The sequence below is a fragment of the Homo sapiens genome, chromosome 12, assembly GCF_000001405.40.
Source record: "Homo sapiens chromosome 12, GRCh38.p14 Primary Assembly".
In the NCBI taxonomy this organism is placed as follows: Eukaryota; Metazoa; Chordata; class Mammalia; order Primates; family Hominidae; genus Homo; species Homo sapiens.
Window position 1 is genome coordinate 93,608,345 of NC_000012.12, and position 19,413 is coordinate 93,627,757.

Below are 19,413 nucleotides of genomic sequence, written 5' to 3' on the forward strand. Positions count from 1 at the left end.
AAGGATATTTTGATGAATGTATATAGGAGGGCACATTTTTCTTTTGCTCCTGGCTCTAATGTGGCTCTACAGAGCACTGTTCTGGACCTCTGAGAAGCCTGTTCTTCATGCTAGATGAGTCATGGCTCATCTAGGTTCTATTTTCAGGATGACATCACTTACTAACTCTGTGACCTTGGGGCCTCAGTTTCCTCATCTGTAAAACTGAGGATGATATTACATAGTTCATATACATATACTTCATATACATGCAGCACTATAGAACATGATGTAAGCACTATATAGACATGACATAAGCAATGTTGAACTATGTAAGTATTAGCAATTTTTGGTATTATTTCTGACAATGCGATGTCTTATTTATTGCTATGCCTTCTACCTTCTAAAAATCACCTCCTATATCACATTAAATCATCTCCCATTCCCTGATGGGATGCATCCCACTCGGTGCAACATCAGTTTAATGGAACCACCACAGGCTCTGGAAAGTTATATCCCTGAACCCCAAAATACTCAGCTTAATTGGTGTTCCTTTAAGCAGGTCACTAAGTTCTCTAAATTTGAATTTTCTAGATGAGGATAAAAATACCTACTTTCCAGGGGTAAGTATTTACCTTAATAAACACTGTAAGAGGCCAAGCATGCTGGCTCATGCCTGTAATTCCAGCACTTTGGGAGGCTGAGGCGGGCAGATAACTTGAGTTCAGGAGTTCAAGACCAGCCTGGGCAACATGGTGACACCCTGTCTCTATTTAAAAATAAATAGGCCAGGTACGGTGGCTCATGCCTGTAATCCCAGCACTTCGGGAGGCCGAGGCAGGCAAATCACCTGAGTTCAGGAGTTCGGGACCTGCCTGACCAACATGGCAAAACCCTGTCTCTACTAAAAATTCAAACATTATTTGGACGTGGTGGTGTGTGCCTGTAATCCCAGCTACTCGGGAGGCTAAGGCAGGAGAATTGCTTGAACCCGGGAGACAGAGGTTGGGGTGAGCCAAGACTGTGCCATCACACTCCAGCCTGGGCAACAAGAGTGAAACTCCATCTCAAAAATAAATAAGTAAATAAATAAATAAAGACTGTAAAATTTACTTATTTAGATAAAGTATTTTATTAATTTATTAATTTTTATTACCTTAATAATAAATTAATTACATTGATTTACTTAAATATTACCTTAATAATAATTATTTATCTTAATTTATTACCTTATTATTTACTTTAATTTATTACCTTTATTATTTGGTAATAATAATTTGTAACTATGGGAATAAATAAGATCAGAGATAAAATAGAGAGCATCTATTCAAACACTTGAGCTGTAAAGGATGATCAGTAAATATTGGTTTACTTAAAAGCAGTAATTTATGACTGTTCCCTAGGGATCTGTGGAAATCTCCAGTGGAATCTTCAAACATGTTGCCTACTGTCTTAGTTTGTTTTGTGTTGCTACAACAGAATACCACAAACTAGGGTCATTTATAAAGAAAAGAAATTTATTTCTCACAGTTTAGGAGGCTGGAAAGTCCAATGTCAAGGTGCTGATATCTGGAGAGGGCCTTCTTGCAGTATCATCCCATGGTGGAAGGTGGAAGGGCAAGAGAGAACAAGAAAGCAAGAAGGGGCTGAAGTTGCTTTTAGAAGAAGCCTATTGACATGGTAATGACATTAATTCATTCAAGAGAGCAGAGCCCTCATGATCTAATCACCTTTTAAAGGTCCCATCTCCCAACACAGTCGCACTGAGGATTAAGTTTTTAACATATGAACTTCAGGGAATACGTTCAAACTATAGCACCCACCATATTATATTAATTGTAAAATATCCACACATATGTTACAACAGTCGTTCTCAGACTTTAGCACACATAAGAATCATGTGGAGCTAGGGCAACCAAGTCATCTCAGATTGCCCTGGACTTTCCAGTTTTAGCACTAAAAGCCCCTCATCCCAGGACACCCCTCAGTCCCGGGCTAACCTGGATGGTTGGTCACTCTGCCTGGAGGATTTGTTCAAACACAACTTCCTGGACCCCCACCTTTAGAGATTCTGATTCATCAGGTCTGATCTGAAGGGGAGCCTGTGAGTTTGTATTTCTGACAAAGCTCCCAAGTGCTGCAGGGGTGTCTGAGACCACAGTTTGAGTAACATTGTGCTATGACTTGAATCCATGTGTTCCTCCAAAGTCCATATGTTGAAACCTAATACCCAATGTGGTAATATTAAGAAGTAGGGCCTTTTGGAAAGTGATTGAGTCATGGGCACTCCAGTTCATGAATGGGCTCAGTACTCTCGTAGAAGAGGTAGAAGGGAGTGCCCTAGTCCGTTTTTGCCCTGCCATCTCTTTTGCCATGTGAAGACACAGTGTTCATCCGTTTTCTGCCCTTCCACCATGTAAGAACATGGCCATAAGGTGCCATCTTTGTAGCAGAGAATGGACCCTCATCAGACACTGAATCTCCTAGATCCTTAATCTTGGACTTCTCAGCCTCTGAAACTATGAGCAATGAATTTCTGTTGTTTCTAAGTCACCCAGTCTAAGGTGTTTTTTTAATAGCAATAGGAATGGACTAAGACACACTTTCACAATATCATACTAATGGCCATACTTGGTGTTTTATTTCTAAAAGTTGAGAATTGCTCAATTTTTAGAACTCCACAGGGTTCCTTACATCCCTAGGAGGCTGGTGTTTTAACTCTCATTTTATAAATCTTCAAGGAGGTGTCCTAGTCCCCCTAGTTTCCTGGCCTAGACTGGCCAGGAGATGAACTTCTGGCCAGTTATTACCATAGATCTGCAGTGGACACATAGAGACTCAAGTGGGGACCTCTGCTGAGCAAATTTTGCTTACATATCCCTTTTCTAATTAGGAACTGTCAAAAAATGATTTTTTTTTCTTTTTGAGACAGGAGACGGAGTCTCACTTTGCCACCCAGGCTGGAGTGCAGTGGTGTGATCTCAGCTCACTGCAACCTCCACCTCCTTGGTTCAAGCGATTCTCCTGCCTTAGCCTCCTGAGTAGCTGGGATTGCAGGTGTGTGCCACCACGCCCGGCTAATTTTTGTATTTTTGTAGAGACGGGGTTTCACCATGTTGGCTAGGCTGGTTTCTAACTCCTGACCTCAAGTGATCCGCCTGCCTCGGCCTCCCAAAGTGCTGGAATTATGTGCATGAGCCACCTCGTCTGGCCAAGAAGCAATGTTTGCTTTGCAGACGGCATTATTTCAACAAATTTCACACCATCAGCTATAGCAACCAAAGCACCTAATTGCTTACCAAAAATGTATTTAAAAAATTCTCTTTCATTACACTGTAATTATTGGCAGCCCCAGGAGTCATATTTTATTCTGATTTTATGTTTCAGCACAATTTATCCAATTTCTGCAGTCCCCAAAATGCAGAATTGCTAAATGATTGCAGAAATAAACAAAATCTAATATTTTATTGTATTGTTTCAATAATCAGTACTATTATGTGTACATTTGGTAAGACTTCCTTTGATATTCAGTTTATATTGATTTTTTTTTTCATCTATCACAAAGGAGGCCTCCGTTGGTTTGCTTCTCTGTTTTCTTTACAACTCCTCCCTCTGCTCAGAGAACTGCTTTTTTTGTTTGATCAGCCCCCATCTACTGGTTATACTTTTGATTGAATTCTCAGTCAGGCCTTGTCATTTCTGGGATTGGAGCTTTTCCATGTAGCTCCAGGGAATGTTGTTCTTTGATTCCAGGAGATGCTAGAACGACCCTGTGAGCAACACCTACTTCATGGGGTTGGAAGCAAAATAAAAGGATGTATCTAAACTGCTAAACATGAGACCTGCCCATTTTGCACTAAAAAAATTTCTCTGATCTGTCCATTTCCCTTCACACTTCCTCCCAACCCACTGCCTTTCCATGAATACTCCCCCTGCCTGAAATTCAACCTCTCCTGCAGTCTAGGTTGATTCCTCCATGGTACTTTTCCATGGTATCATGCACCTGTCCTTTGGAGCACCAATCACAGTGCCATTGTACTTTTTTTTTTTCTGTGATTACTTCATGGCTGTCTTCCTCCTCTACACTGAGGACAACACTGAAAGGTCATTCCATATTTACAACTCCTTGTGAGGCTGGCCCAGGCTTCCTTTGAACCAGTTTCATATTTTGGCATTGTCCCCTGCTCAATCCTGCTATCTTCACTTCTTTCCATGGTGTTAATCCTAAGTGTACTCCCTAAAGCAAACTATGCATTCTAATCTCTGTCTCAGAATCATCTTCCTAGGGAACCCAACTTGTGCCATGGTACTCCCAACATAGGGAGGAATTGTATTGTTTTTTTCCAATTGTGTATATTCTCAGTCTATCATAGTCCCTGGCACCAGGAGGATGTCAGCAGATAGCTGTGAAATGAATGAACAAATGAATCAATGAATCAATGGTGGTAGTATCATTGGTAATTTCTGTTTTATGCCCCACCCTTCTCCTTTCTTTAAAGGCAATGTAACCCCTACACGGGAATTTCTTGGGTTTCTGCCCAGGGATCTATTTTACTCCTCTTCATTTCCTTCCCTTTTCCCTTTTACAGCCCCTTTTTCTCCTACCCCTCCCTTTTGTAAAATCTCTGCCTAGCAATAGCTCTTAGCTGTAGCTAAGGAGTGAGGAGGAAGCCCAAGGAAAGTGGCTGAGAGACAAAGACGGAAAACAGCTAAATTAGTTTAGAGGCCAATTCAGGAACTCCGGCACTTCTTTCTATCAGAGCCTGTGTGGAGCCCTGCAAGAAAGGGCAATGCCAAGGAACAGAGGAAGCCAATATCTGAAGGCTCTGCTCATTGCATGGCTTTCCGAAGGTATTTTCTCCTTTTGAATGAGAATAAAGAGCCTTTTAAAACAACAAAGCTTCTGTATAAATAGAAAAAAGGGAGAACTCACATTTTCAGTCCATATGAAAAATAGCCTCTTCGTTAGTAATTTCTCATCCTCATGTACAGCCTACTGCGGTCAATGCTTTATTTCTGCAGCCCTGTTTTTTGTTTTTATGGTCCTTTTTTTCTTTTTCTTTTTGCTCCTTCCGCCCCTCCCAGAAAAAAAAACCAAAAACAAAAACAAACAAACAAGCAAAAAAACAGATTCAAGCTAGAAGACTTGAGTTTGAGACCTAGTTCTACCACTTTAGTAGCTGCATACTGTCTCCGAGCCTTAGTTCTTTATCTGAAGGTGGGCATTTGTTAACCAGCTCACAGAGACGGGCTACTGAGAAGCTCAAATGAAACAACGGATGTGAACAAGCTTTAAGAATTGTGACACTCTAAAGAGAAATTGTCATTGCCACTTAATTTTTAGTGAAACGGAACAGCATGCTGAATATAGTTAACAATTGAGTACTCTGGCTTTCAATATTGGTTAAGAAAGTAACTTTCTAATGTTCTCATCACAAAAATGTTAAATATTGGTGGCAATAATATATTAATTAGCTTAATTTAATCACTCCACACTGTAGTCAAAATCATAACACCACTTTGTACCCCATCAACATATACTACTATAGCGTGTCAATAGGCAATAAAAAAATAAAAAGAAATTTAAAGCTGGTACCCTCCCAAAAAAGAATAGAACACACTTCAAAGCCAAGTATAAAAGGTTTTTTAATTATTCCTCATTTTGCATGATGTTTGGCAAAGGTCCTTGTTAGCCCACATGATTAGGAATCCACTTTACTTGGAATGGACTGAGAATGTCAAACTTCTAGGTTAACCAGCCATTTTTTTTTTTTCATTGATTCATTGATACATGACAGACTTGGAAGCCACTCGCTCTCTCAACCAGGGTTTTGGGTTGATCAAGTAGATGTTATTGTCACAGCTCAATGAATACTTCTTATTTCTCATCTGCCTAAGGCAGCCCTGGTGTTCAAACATATCCTTGTTTTTCCTCCAAACACACGATGCTCTGAGAATTTACACCATTAGGAATAATCTCCTACCCTCAACTCTGGGTGTATAGGGATTCAAGATTTCCTTTGTATATAGCAATTTTCCTTCTTTCTTTCTTTCTTTCTTTCTTTCTTTCTTTCTTTCTTTCTTTCTTTCTTTCTTCCTTTCTTTCCCTTCCTTCCTTCCTTCCTTCCTTCCTTCCTTCCTTCCTTCCTTCCTTCCTTTCCTTCCTTCCTTCCTTCCTTCCTTCCTTCCTTCCTTCCTTCCTTCCTTCCTTCCTTCCTTCTTTCTTTCTTTCTTTCTTTCTTTCTTTCTTTCTTTCTTTCTTTCTTTCTTTCTTTCTTTCTTTCTTTCTTTCTTTCTTTCTTTCTTTCTTTTGATGGAGTCTGGCTCTAATGCCCAGGCTGGAGTGCAGTGGTGTGATCTCAGCCCACTGCTACCTCTGCCTCCTGGGTTCAAGCGATTCTCCTGCCTCAGACCCCGAGCAGCTGGCATTACAGGCGCCTGCCACCATGCCTGGCAAATCTTTCTATTTTAGTAGGGATGGGGTTTCACCATGTTGGCTAGGCTGGTCTTGAACTCCCGACCTCAGGTGATCCATCCGCCTCGGCCTCCCAAAGTGTTGGGATTACAGGCATGAGCCACAGCGCCCGGCGCCTTGTATGTAGCAATTTTCTATTTAAAAAAAAAAAAAAAAGACAGACTGATAAGGGTCATTGAGCAGCCGGCAAAGGATCCTAGGGAGAAATTGTCATTGCCACTTAATTTTCCAGGCCCTGTTTGGGATCTCCTTCTTTGGGATGACTTCTCTGAATCTCTCCTTATCTCCTCATGCCTTAACCCTCTCCCCCACTGGGATAGGTGCCCCTTTTCTGAGCTGCCTTATCATCCTGCCTCTGCCCTTGCTTGACATTCTGAATTGTTCATCAGTGATCTACTTGTCTGCACCCACCTCAAGACTGTTGTTTTAGAGAGCAAGGACTTTTTTTGGTTCATTGTTCATTCCCAGAGTCTAGTACAGCTCTTGAGATGTAAGAATTACATCATAATTGTTGGTTGAGTTTATCAATGAATAGATGCTTCAGATTCCATCCGTTTCTCTCCACTGGCACCAATCTCTCTGGCTTGTTTTCCTGTGACATTCCTGGGCAGGGATCCTGCAGAGTAGATAGAAAAGGCCTGTGTCTATCATGGAACTTGTCCCTCCCAATTGGCTTGTACAGGCAGTTATGTCACTACAGATCCTCATTTTAATTGGATTAAGGTATTCTCCTCTGAGAAGTGAAAACAGCATATAATTTACAAGGGATATTAGGTGGAGTTATAAAGTGTGAAAGTATTTGTTCTGTTTTGTTTGAGACAGAGTCTCGATCTGTCACCCAGGCTGGAGTGCAGTGGCACCATGTCATCTCACTACAACCTCCACCTCCTGGGTTCAAGCGATTCTTATGCCTCAACCTCTGAAGTAGCTGGAATTACAGGCATGAGCCACCATGTTCAGCTAATTTTTGTATTTTTAGTAGAGACAGGGTTTCACCATGTTGACCAGGCTGGTCTCAAACTCCTGCCTTCAAGTGATCCTCCCGCCTCGGCCTCCCAAAGTGTTGGGATTACAGGTGTAAGCCACTGAGCCTGGCCTAGAGTGTGAAAGTAGAAAGGACCTTAGAGGTTACAGGATCCATCCCTCTTATTTTACAGATAAACCAGGCTCAGAGGTGGAAAGATTTGTCCAAGCTCTCATGATTAATTCATGGCTAAGGAAGATATCCATTGCTTTAGCCTGCCTCAGGCCCTGTGGGGAATCAGCCCTTCCCACTCTTGGTCCTAGCATTTTGGCTGGTGCTGACTTTACTCCCAAATCCAGGATGAGCATGAGAACTAGGCCTCTTCAATCAGAGCACCAGGACTTATGTTCCCAGAAGGCCAATCAAAGCCAGTGAGACATGATTTCAGGACATTGGAAAGAGAAGTTTATGTGCTCCATTGGGGTTGCTGAGAGGATGAGATTCAAGCTTGAGACTGTAGACAGCCATCTTGTCACCAGAGGCAGACAGCCAAGGGAAGCAGTACCAAGAGATGGAGAGAATGAAATCCAGTTTTCTTGGTTTGGCACTGAGGTCTCTCATAATGACATCATTGGAGACCCTGATACAACCATGCCTGACCTCTGATCTCTGTAGGAGCTAATTAATTACTGGGGTTTCTGTTTATTTCTTGCTCAGTCAAGTTTCTGTCACTTTCCACTAGTTAGCCTAAAGAATTCAACATTAGACCTAGAAGCAGGCTTCTTAACTTTCAAATGCTGTCCTCTTTCCACCAAACCACATCGGGCATTCCTCTGATTAACCCAATACCACCCACTGTCACATAACAGAGAGCAGAATTAGGCAGGAATGGGAGACAATGGGCTGCATTTCAATGGGCGGGGGTATGTGTGCATCCAGTGACGTGCTCCGGGGACAAGTGGGAGGCATGAGGCCATGGGGTAATGAAAGGGTTACATCAAAACAAACTTTGGCTGCTTCCCTGTTTTAACCCTGGCAGTCTAATGAATAAGAATTGGCGGGCAGGAGATGGGGAAGTACATGTGACTAGAAGCTGATTCAGCTGGATGTTTCTTCTCGATTAATGAAAAAACCTTTTGGTCTGGACCTGGCAAAACCAAAAGTCAAGGCATCACTGTTTTATTGTTAACCTCTCATGACTCACCTAAGGCATGGGAATATACAAGGCTACAGAAGAGTCACAGCCTTAATCAACAAACATTATGCAAACCCAGTACTACCGAGGTGGCTGTGCTGGGCCGTGTCCATTGATGGGGATCAGGCAAACAATTATATCACTGTGATATGCTAAGCAGACTGTCTTATGCTTTGGGGATAACCTGGTTGCAAGCCTCTGAGATCAGTTCTTCATTACCAGGTGCAATAAGCAGGAACAGAAATTGTGGGCCTGTTCCTGGTGGGAATCCCATACTAACCACATCCCAGGGTGGGATTTTTAGCAATCTGCTTTCTCCTGATTTCCCCCTCTTCTCAGGTACTGATAAATTTCAACAACCAGCTAAACTAAACTAGGGTGTGGGAGTAGTGACTTGGAGAGGACAGGAGAGGGGTTCCTGGAGTCTTGGTGATGTTGAGTTCCTAAACTGTGCTGCTTCTATGGAGATGTTCAGTTTGTGAAAATTTATTGAACTATGCACCTATGAATGTTGTATTTCCTCTAAGTATATTATGTCTGAATAAAAACACCACAGTATGTTAAATGCTGTTATTGTAGGCAATTATTTGGCACTGTGGAGGTCTTAGAAATAAAATTAAATGGGGCCACTGAAATTATGTGATAATACTCTTCCACTCTAAAGTGGCCATACAGATACTCCACATATTTATATTTACTTCAAAATATGTAATAATCAAAATGAACATATAAATGTAAAAAAAAAAAATAGAGTTTTCACAATCTTCCAGGAGCCTAGGATACTGGTTGGGAAAGACTGAAGTATTGTTATAGTTCAGAATCACAGTGCAAGTTGACCTCAAATCCATTTACATCTCTCCACTTCCACTGCCATCACTCTAGATCATGCCACTAGTAACTCCGGCCTGGACAGGAGCAGTACCCTCCACTCTTGCCTGATGTGTAATCCTTTGTCTACTGATATGGTCTGGATCTGTGTCCCCACCCAAATCTCACGTCAAATTATAATCCCCAGTGTTGGAAATGGGATCTGGTGGAAGATGATTGGATCATGGGGGCAGTTTCTCATGAATGATTTAGCACTAACCCCCTAGTGCTGATGTTGTGATAGAGTTCTCATGAGATCTGGTTGTTCAAAGTGTGTGGCACCTCCCACTCTCTCTTCCGCCTGCTCTGGCCATGTAAGATGTGCCTGCTTACCCTTTGCCTTCCGCCATGATTGTAAGTTTCCTGAGGCCTCCCCAGAAGCTGATGCCACCATGCTTCCTGTACAGCCTGCAGGACTGTGAGCCAATGAAACCTCTTTTCTTTATAAATTACCCAGTCTCAGGTATTTTTCTTTATAGCAGTGTGAGAATGCACTAAGACACCAACCCAGTAGAAAATCAGAAGATGATAGTTTTTAAATATGGCTCAAATTACTCTCCTTTCCCCCAGGCCTCCCACCCAAGCCCTTCGAAGACTTCCTGACACTCTTAAAGTCCAAATCCTTCTCCATGGCTCACTGTGTCCATCCTTGACCAGTCCCCACCTGCCTCTCTGACCAGCTGCCCACCACCCTTCCCCAGCTCACCAGTCTCAGCCCCACTGGCCTCTTTTCATTCTCCCAACACCACATGCCTGTCCTAGCCTTAGGGCTTTTACATGTATGCCTCTACTGCCTAAAATAGAAGTCTCCCAGATCTTTGGATTGCTGGCTCCCTCTGATTCCTTAGGTCCCAGCTCAAATATCATTCCCTCGAGTAGCCCCTCTCAGCCATTCTATGTCATTGTCTCACTACTTTACTTTATTTTCTTCACTGTATCCAAAGCTATTATGTTAATATGGTTGTTTACCAGAACATAAGCCCCATAAGGGCAAGGATGTTGTCTACCTTGTTTATGGTTTGTATCAGTCAGGGTACCAGCAAGGCGTCTCACTATGTTGCCCAGGTTGTACTTGAACTCCTGGGCTAAAGTGATCCTCCCACTCAGCCTCTAGAGTAGCTGGGCCTGCAGGCACACACCAGCACACCCAGTGAGATGGCATTCTTAAAGGAGTTTAACTGAAGGGAATTTGAGAAAGGAACCAGGTACAGAAACGTGGGCAGGGTTAAGAGAACACATGATGCGGCACCCAGGGCCTACCACTGTGGAAAGCTATCCCCACCGGTAGAACTGAAGGGGCAAGAGTGCAGAGCTGTGTTTGGAGATGGTAAGAGCGGAGGCTATGGGAGAGGAGCTACCCACCACAGCCATGGCAACGCAGGGGACAAGCGGTGACTGGGTAAGTTGCCCCGCTTCTTCCTCCTCCCACCTTCAGATTTCCTGCCATTATTTCCTGGCCAAGCCCAACTGGAAGCCAGAGAGCAAGAGAGCCTTACACAGTCCATAGGGGTCAGACTCTGGGGCCCCAGAACAGGGCAGGAAGGGTGGGGCACAGGGCAGGATCGGAGCAAACAGAGCCTAGCCAACCCTACATTGCTTGCTACATAGGTGCTCCCACATGCTGATTAAATGAATGGTTGATCGAATGAATGAATAAATGAACAACAAAGAAAGCTGAAGAGAAAGACAAAGGGATATCCACAGGAATTAACATTTAGGAAGCTCCTAGTGGGTGCCATGTGGGCATCATATATAAATAATCTTGTTTAATCCACACAGGAATCCTATGAGATACCTTACTGTCCCTGTATATGGCTGATGATCCTGAGACCTTAGAGGTTACCATACCCTATTAAAGAGAAATCATGGAGCCAGGATTCCAACTGAGGTTCCAAGTGTTTTTCCCTTGCATTACACTAAACATATATTGCATGTTTCCATACTTGCATCAGCCTGGAACCTGCATCCCTCCCATTCCTGCCTGGAATGCTCTATAGCCTGCCTAAATCCCAGTTAACTTCTGGTTCAGCTCATGCTCCTCCTCTTCACAGCCTGCCCTGGATCACCACAGCCAAAGGTAATCTTTCTCTCTTCTGGATATTATAGCAACTGTTATATATCTTCACGTTTCAATTGCCATCTATTTCTTCATAATCTAATTATTTGAGAGCTTCTCATCTCCTCAACTATATTGAAATATCTTGGAATTGGAAATTTTTGTGTTTTCTTTTGTCTATTACTTTGTATCCTTATTGCAGGTAATCAATAAATATTTGCTGGTTTACTTACCTGTCTTATATAACTCATTTTCAATGTCTTTTTTTGTTTAAGAAAAAAAATCACTTAAATGATACATTTTTACATATACTGTATAAACAACTTGTATCATTTTCTCATTTAATATTGGATCATAAGTATTTTTTATTACACATAATTTGTAAACAATGTTTTGATGGTAGTCTAATAGTCAATTCTATGGCTGTACCAAAATTTAAATCATTTTCTATTGTGGACATTCGGGTGGATGGCATCCCCCATCGCCTCAATATCAATGTTGTCCTGAAGAGTTTGGAGCTACATTTCTTTTCTTTTTTTCTCTTTTTTTTTTGAGATGGAGTCTTGCTGTGTTGCCCCAGGCTGGAGTGCAGTGGCACGATCTCGACTCACTGCAACCTCCACCTGCCAGGTTCAAGCAATCCTCCTGCCTCAGCCCCCCAGTAGCTGGGATTACAGGCATGCACCACCATGCCTGGCTAATTTTTGTATTTTAGTAGAGTCAGGGTTTTGCCATGTTGGCCAGGCTGGTCTCAAACTCCTGACCTCAGGTGATCCACCCGCCTCAGTCTCCCAAAGTGCTGGGATTACAGGCATGAGCCACCATGCCTGGCCTGGAGCGACATTTATTCCTATGGAATCAATTTCCTTCACTAAGCTCTTTTTTAGGGAATGCTTAGTGAAGATTTGATTAAACACTACAATTGTTAACTACACCAGATAAGTTTAACTTTGACACTCTATTTTGTAATTCATCTTGTAATGGAAGAGTCAAAATAACAGTGTCTCCTGGTATATGCAGATAGATGGATACCTTTGGGAAGCCCACTCATTCATCTATCCATTCGTCCAGCCATATCCATCTATCCAAGTCTGCACTACTTGGGAGCCCAGGTGAGGAGAGCTGCAGTCATGATGGGAGGTTGGTGGTCTTCTCTGAAGATGTAACATTTCACCATCTTCAGTGCAACTCTTGTCCTTTGGCGACCAAGAGCTGAGCATATACGTCCTCGTGACTGTTCCAACTCCTAGTCAAGACTATATAGATTCCATGTATCATTATACTGATCACCTATCTAGACATCACAGTAGTTTTTGAGATACCTAATTGAAATGACAACTTTTGTTAGTATTTAAAATACCAAACTGTCTTTCTTTAGCATCAGAAAATCCCCAGTTCTGTTTCTGAAGTTGCCTCAAAGCACCTGAGGGGATGTTGGGAAGGGAAATTACACAGACTGTCTATCATGGATCAGAAGCTTGTACTGCAAGCATAATGCATTGATTAAGAGAGGTGAAATCTGAATCCAGATTGCCTGGGTCTAGGTTCAAATCCCTGCCCCACTTCTTCATGACTGTATGACCAGAACAAGGTTACTTAACTTCTCTCTCTCCTTTTTTTGAGACAGAGTCTCACTCTATCACCCAGGCACAGTGGAACAATCATAGCTCACTGCAGCCTCGAACGGTCAGGCTTAAGAGATCCTCCTGCCTTAGTCTCCCCAGTACCTGGGACCACAAGCACACACCATCATGCCCAGCTAATTAAAAAAAAATTTTTTTTTTGTAGAGATGGAGTCTCACTATGCTGTTCAGGCTGGTCTTGAACCCCTGGCCTCAAGCAATCCTCCCACCTTGGCCTTCCAAAGTGAGTGCTAGGACTATAAGCATGAGCTGCCATGCCCAGCCTACTTAACACCTCTTATCCTTACTTTCTTTATCTGTAACATAGAGGTAGTAATTACACCTCCCTCATAAGGTTGTTCTGAGACTTAAATCAGTTAACATATGAACACCAAAGTGGTGAAGCGAGCAGAATAGTGCCTGACACATATTAAGTGTGATGTGAGTACTTGCTATTATTATTACTGATCTTATTTTAAACTCATTTAATTTAGTTCTTACAACAACTCTTACTTAGATTGAGGCTGAAAATTGTCAGCCTGTAGGTTGAACTTGGCCTGCAGATATGTTTTGTTTGGCCTGCACAATTTTCTTTAGTTTGAGCCAACATTTAAAACTCTGGAGTTTTATACAAAAATCTTGATTTCTGGCTCTTCTTGTAAAATCCTTATCTGACAGCAACCCACAGGAGCTGAGGGCTGCTGATTTCTTTAGATAAGGAATGCACCTTGGTAGTGTGCCCTGATTCTGTGGGGATGATGTCAGTGGTGAGTGATAGAAGACCCAACTAATAGTCGCTTCAACTAAGAATTTATATCTCAATTAAGAGGTCTGAGGTAGGGTAGTTCCAGGTTTCATACAGAGGCACAAAAGTGTTGTCGGAGACTCTTGCTCCTTTACTGTTAATGTCTTCCACCTGTCCTCTCTGACATCATTGGCATGTCAGCTATGATGCTGCACTCATACCTACTGATGCCTCCAAAGGCTCACACATGTCACATGCAGATACACGACCAGTGAAGAAGAGATGTCTTTTTACTGGTCTCTTTTCCTTATAAAGGAAACCTTTAAAACAAAACAAAAAAACCCTAGCTGAGTGTCTCCTGAGCTCACAATTGGCCAAGACTGGCTTCTATGCCAATACTCTGGTTGGAAGAAAGCCTAGGAAAGCTGGTCTCACACTTCCTGCCCTTAAGTGGGAAGGCAGGATGTGCCTATAAGAGGGATGAGGCAAGGGGTAGTGAACAGGCCAAGACTGCCAGGCACATCTCACTCAGAAATCGCTCAAGCACACACACCCAGCTTCCTCCACCTATTTACCTAACTGAGGGCAACTGGATAATGGAATCTGTATGTCAAGTTCAGGATTCAGCCCTATAAACTTATGGAAGGTTTGAGCCATGACTAGTTTAGGTGGATTTTTTAAAATAAAAAAATCACTTTCAGTTCTTAAAAAAGGAATCCATTTTAGGTTCAAAGTAGCATGATAACTTTGCTGTTTAGAGTTTGAAATTCAACAAGGATATTTACTCTTGCCTGGATAACCTGCAGCACTGATAGCATTTGGCTCTTTGTCCCCACCCAAGTCTCATCTCGAATTGTAACCCCCAAATGTCAGGGAAGGGCCTGGTGGGAAGCAATTGGATCATGGGGGCAGCTTCTCCCAGGCTGGTCTCGTGATAGTGAGGGAGTTCTCACGAGATCTGATGGTTTAAGTGCCAAGAAGTTTTCCTCCTCTCACTCACTCCTTTCTCCTGCTGCCATGTAAGACGTGCCTTGCTTCCCCTTCACCTGCAGCCATGATTATAAGTTTCCTGAGGCCTCCCTAGCCATGTGGAACTGTGAATCAATTAAACCTCTTTCCTTTATAAATTACCCAGTCTCAGGGAAGTTCTTTTTATTTATTTATTTATTATCATTATTTTTTAATTTATTATTATTATACTTTACGTTTTAGGGTACATGTGCACAATGTGCAGGTTAGTTACATATGTATACATGTGCCATGCTGGTGTGCTGCACCGGGAAGTTCTTTATAGCAGTGTGAAAACGGACTTACACAAGCACCAACCAATATTTATGGTGTCTCTGGGTGAACATGTAAGATGCCATTTAAAATGCTGTATAGAGACATGGGCACTACCCTCTAGGTACTAGCTGTGGTCTAAATGCATCCTCTAAAATTCACAAGTTGACATTTAATCATGAATTTTTTTTTTTTTGAGACAGGGTCTCGCTCTGCTGCCCACGCAGGAGTGCAATCGCGATCTCAGCTCACTGCAACCTCCGCCTCCCGAGCTCAAGCGATTCTCCTGCCTCAGCCTCCCAAATAGCTGGGATTACAGGCACACACCACCATGTCCAGCTAATTTTTGTATTTTTAGTAAAGACAGGGTTTTGTCTTGTTGGCCCGGCTGGTCTTGAACTCCTGACCTCAGGTGATCACCCACGTCAGCCTCCCAAAGTGCTGGGATTACAGGTGTGAGCCACCCCACCCAGCCTGAGCCACTGCGCCTGGTCTTAATCACGAATATTAATAGGTGGGGTCTTTAGGAGGTAATTAAGTCATGAGAGTGAAAGCCTCATGAATGGGATTAGCCGCCTTGTAAAAGGTCTGGAGGAAACTAGTGTTTGTCCCTTGTTATCCTTCCATCCCTTCCACCACATGAGGACACAGAGGTCAAGGTGCCATCTTGAAAGCAAAGACTAGGCCCTCACCAGACACGAAACCTGCCAGCGCTTTGACTTTGGACTTCCCAGCTTCCAGAACTATGAAAAATACATTTCTGGCCAAGCGCAGTGGCTCACGCCTGTAATCCCAGCACTCTGGGAGGCCAAGGCGGGTGGATCACGAGGTCAAGAGATTGAGATCATCCTGACCAACATGGTGAAACCTTGTCTCTACTTAAAATACAAAAAATTAGCCAGGTGTGGTGGCAGGCACCTGTAGTCCCAGCTACTAGGGAGGCTGAGGCAGGAGAATCACTTGAATCCGGGAGGCGGAGGTTGTAGTGAGCCGAGATTGCACCACTGCACTCAGCCTGGCAACAGAGAGAGACTCCATCTAAAAAAAAAAAAAAATCTATTATGTGTTAATTACCAGTTCTTAGGTGTTTTGTTATAGCAGCACAAACAGACTAAGACAATACTCATCACCCAAGTCACTCTGGAAGGCACTGTTTTATAAGAGCAGAACAGAGTGTGATACATGAATGCTGCAGGCATCAGAAATTGCTGGAACCCATTAAGTTGCTCCCATTAAGTTGGGGGCAGGGTAAAATAAGTAGAAGTACACAGTATGCCACTGTGTGGGCAAAGTTGTTTCTGATTTCATACTAAAGATAGAACCCTAAAACAAGACCTAACAAGAGGTTTCTTTGTGGAAACAATCTTCTTGGGTTAATAGCTAAATATAGTGACTAATGCTTCTTCCTGTTCTTTCTCGACTATACCTTATGAGCTACCTTTAGAACAAGCAGGTTGAAGCCCTGCCTTTTACTAATCCCCTGAGATAATCTTTTTAAAACTCTCAGTGGCAAGTGAAGACCCCAGTGTTTTCCCCATCTCTGAGATTTCTTTCATATCCCTTTAGCATTCGCATTTGCTCTTACTGGTTATTTCCCATGCTGAATCATTCACTGACTATCTGGTCATCTCCTGGGGGAGCCAAATAGTTTTAAACATTCTCAGTGACTCATCTATCCTCACCAGTTCTTTTATTTATTTGTTGTTGATGTGTCATACACACACAATCTCTCTCTGTCATTAAAATGCTAAAAAAAGTTTCTATTTACCGTCATAGTATACTCCACTTTCTCAGTGCATGTCTTCACTTGTTTTGTAGTTTTCTAGTTCATGCAATTGAAATAAAGGTACAGTTACTTAGTCTTTAACCAAGTCCCAGGTTTAGCCAAAATTGTCAAACTCAGGATTCAGCCCTTCAAAGCTTACGAATTTATTGAGGGCCGGGCGCGGTGGCTCACATTTGTAATCTCAGCACTTTGGGAGGCCCAGGCGAGTGGATCACCAGAGGTCAGGAGTTTGAGACCAGCCTGGCCAACATGGTGAAACCCAGTCTCTACTAAAAACACAAAAATTAGCTGGGTGTGGTGGCACGTGCCTGTAATCTTAGCTACTCGGGAGGCTGAGGCAGGAGAATTGCTTGAACCTGGGAGGCGGAGGTTGCAATGAGCTGAGATCACGCCACTGCACTCCAGCCTGGGCAACAGGGTGAGACCATCTCAAAAAAAAAAAAAAAAAAAAAGAGAATTACTTGGTGAAAATAATTCCATATCATTACTATTTTGTAAAAGGGAAACTGCTCTCTTAGCACATTGTGTTGTTTGCTTTGCTACCTTCAGTTGCTCTGCGTCAGAACCCTGTATCTGAAATCCCTCAATAATGAGACTAACTGAGGTAGTGGTGATACTCTATCTTGTTATTTTAAAGCAGGCCTGCAAATACTGGGTGCTCAGTAACCATGAGAAAAAGGCCTGATAAAAGCAACAACAGAAGCAATTGGGACCCAAGGTGGACACCACGGCAAATCCTCAGCGCCTGGGTTTTAGACGGTTCTGCCAAAGGTTTGGTTCTTTCCAGCCTGAGATCATTGCTTAGATCTTTCTGGGGTGTAGTTAAAGTAAAATGAGCCTCTTTCTATTTATCCCACAGATGCCGTTCTCTCTTAACAATGTACTCCTTGAAGGCTTCTTAAGGTAATGTCTGGTCTCTGCTGAATGCAGCCATAAATGCAATAGAACGCTACCTTTGCTGAATGTGCTCAGTCCTCCCCCCTTAGCACAGCTCACCCTACTAGCCTTATCTTGCTGGCCTCCCTCTACCCCCACTGCAACCTCCCAACAGGCTTTAAAATCCAGACATACCTAACGAATCACACAATTACCAAGCAGGTCAGGATACTTTACATCAGAGCCTCTGAACATACTGTTCTCTTCCCAGAATGCCCTTCTCCACCTCATCCACCTGGAGAACCCCTACGTATCCTTCAAGACTCAACTCAAGCTTTTTTTGTTTTAACCCCCCTACAGCCTTCTTACCTTTCCAAATAGCACCAGAACTTTTCATCCACCACTGTACCTTGTATGCAACTGTGTTACAGCACTCTCTAAACCTTCATGTCATCTGCCTTACTTTTTGAGGTTTATGAGAGGAGTGATATGGTTTGGATGTTTATCCCCTCCAAATCTCATGTTGAAATGTGATTCCCAATGTTGGAGGTGGGGCCTGATGGGAGGCAATTGGATCATGAGGGCGTATCCTTCATTAAGCGGTTAGCACATCTTCTTGGTGATAAGTAAGTTCTTATTCTGAGTTCACACAGGGTCTGGTTGTTTAAAAAAGTGTGGCACAACACCCTCACCTTGCTCCCACTTGACCTTCCATCATGACTGTAAGCTTCCTGAGGCCCTCACTAGAAGCTGAGCAGATGTTGGTGCCATGCTTGTTGATATAGTTTGAATATATGTCCCCACCAAATCTCATGTTGAATGGTAATCTCCAATGTTGGAGATGAGGTCTGGTGGGAGGTGTTTGGGTCATGGGGTGGATCCCTCATGGTTTGCGGCTGCACTGGTGATAGTGAGTTCTCACAAGATCAGGTCATTTATAAATGTGTGGCACCTCCCCAGTCTTGCTCCTCCTCCCGCCTTGTGAGATGCCTATTCCCCTTTGCTTTCCACCATGATTGTAGGCTTCTTGAGGCCTCCCCTGAAGCTGATGCTGGCACTATGATTCCTGTACAGCCTGCAGAACTGTGAGCCAACTAAACCTCATTTCTTTATAAATTACCCAGTCTCAGGTATTCCTTTATAGTAATGCGAGAATGGCCTAACACAAGGAGGGACTTACATTATTTTCTGAATCTCAGTGCTTATCTCCTGGAAAGTGTTTACAAAGTATTTGTTGAATGAGTAAATAATTATTTTGAAATATTTATAACTCTCTGATAACATAACATTATATGGTAATAGAGAATTTAGGAAATGCAGAACTATACAAAGAAGAACTAAAAACCATCTGTAATCTCTGGTTAATGGTAATTAACCAAAGTTAATTATTATTCAATAATTTTCTCTGTAGATTTTTTTCTATATTTTTAAAATAACAGCTTTATTGAGATATACTTTACATACCATACAAGTCACCCATTTAAAGTATACAATTCAATGATTTTTAGTATTTCATAGACTTGTATAACCATAATAATAAGTTTTATAACATTTTCATCACCCCAAG

At 42.5% G+C, this 19,413-nt stretch overlaps 1 protein-coding gene across 1 annotated transcript in view, besides 1 other annotated feature; it reads left to right on the top strand.

The window, feature by feature from the left end:
* The window catches only part of SOCS2 (suppressor of cytokine signaling 2), a 56,268-nt gene extending 38,376 nt beyond the window's left edge, over positions 1-17,892 (top strand). Inside the window, exon 3 of the mRNA XM_011538935.2 lies at positions 17,830-17,892. Within this exon, the coding sequence (XP_011537237.1) occupies positions 17,830-17,877 (48 nt within the window). The 3' untranslated portion in view covers positions 17,878-17,892. The remainder of the gene's footprint in view (positions 1-17,829) is intronic.
* Positions 16,210-17,409: an enhancer, noted in NCBI's record as "P300/CBP strongly-dependent group 1 enhancer chr12:94018330-94019529 (GRCh37/hg19 assembly coordinates)". NCBI's record gives its function as "activates an origin of replication core promoter dependent on BRD2, BRD4, P300/CBP, MED14 and CDK7 cofactors, with strong dependence on P300/CBP, by STARR-seq in HCT116 cells {active_cell/tissue: HCT116}" and the evidence as "EXISTENCE:reporter gene assay evidence [ECO:0000049][PMID:35650434]".
* Positions 17,893-19,413: the final 1,521 nt, after the last annotated feature.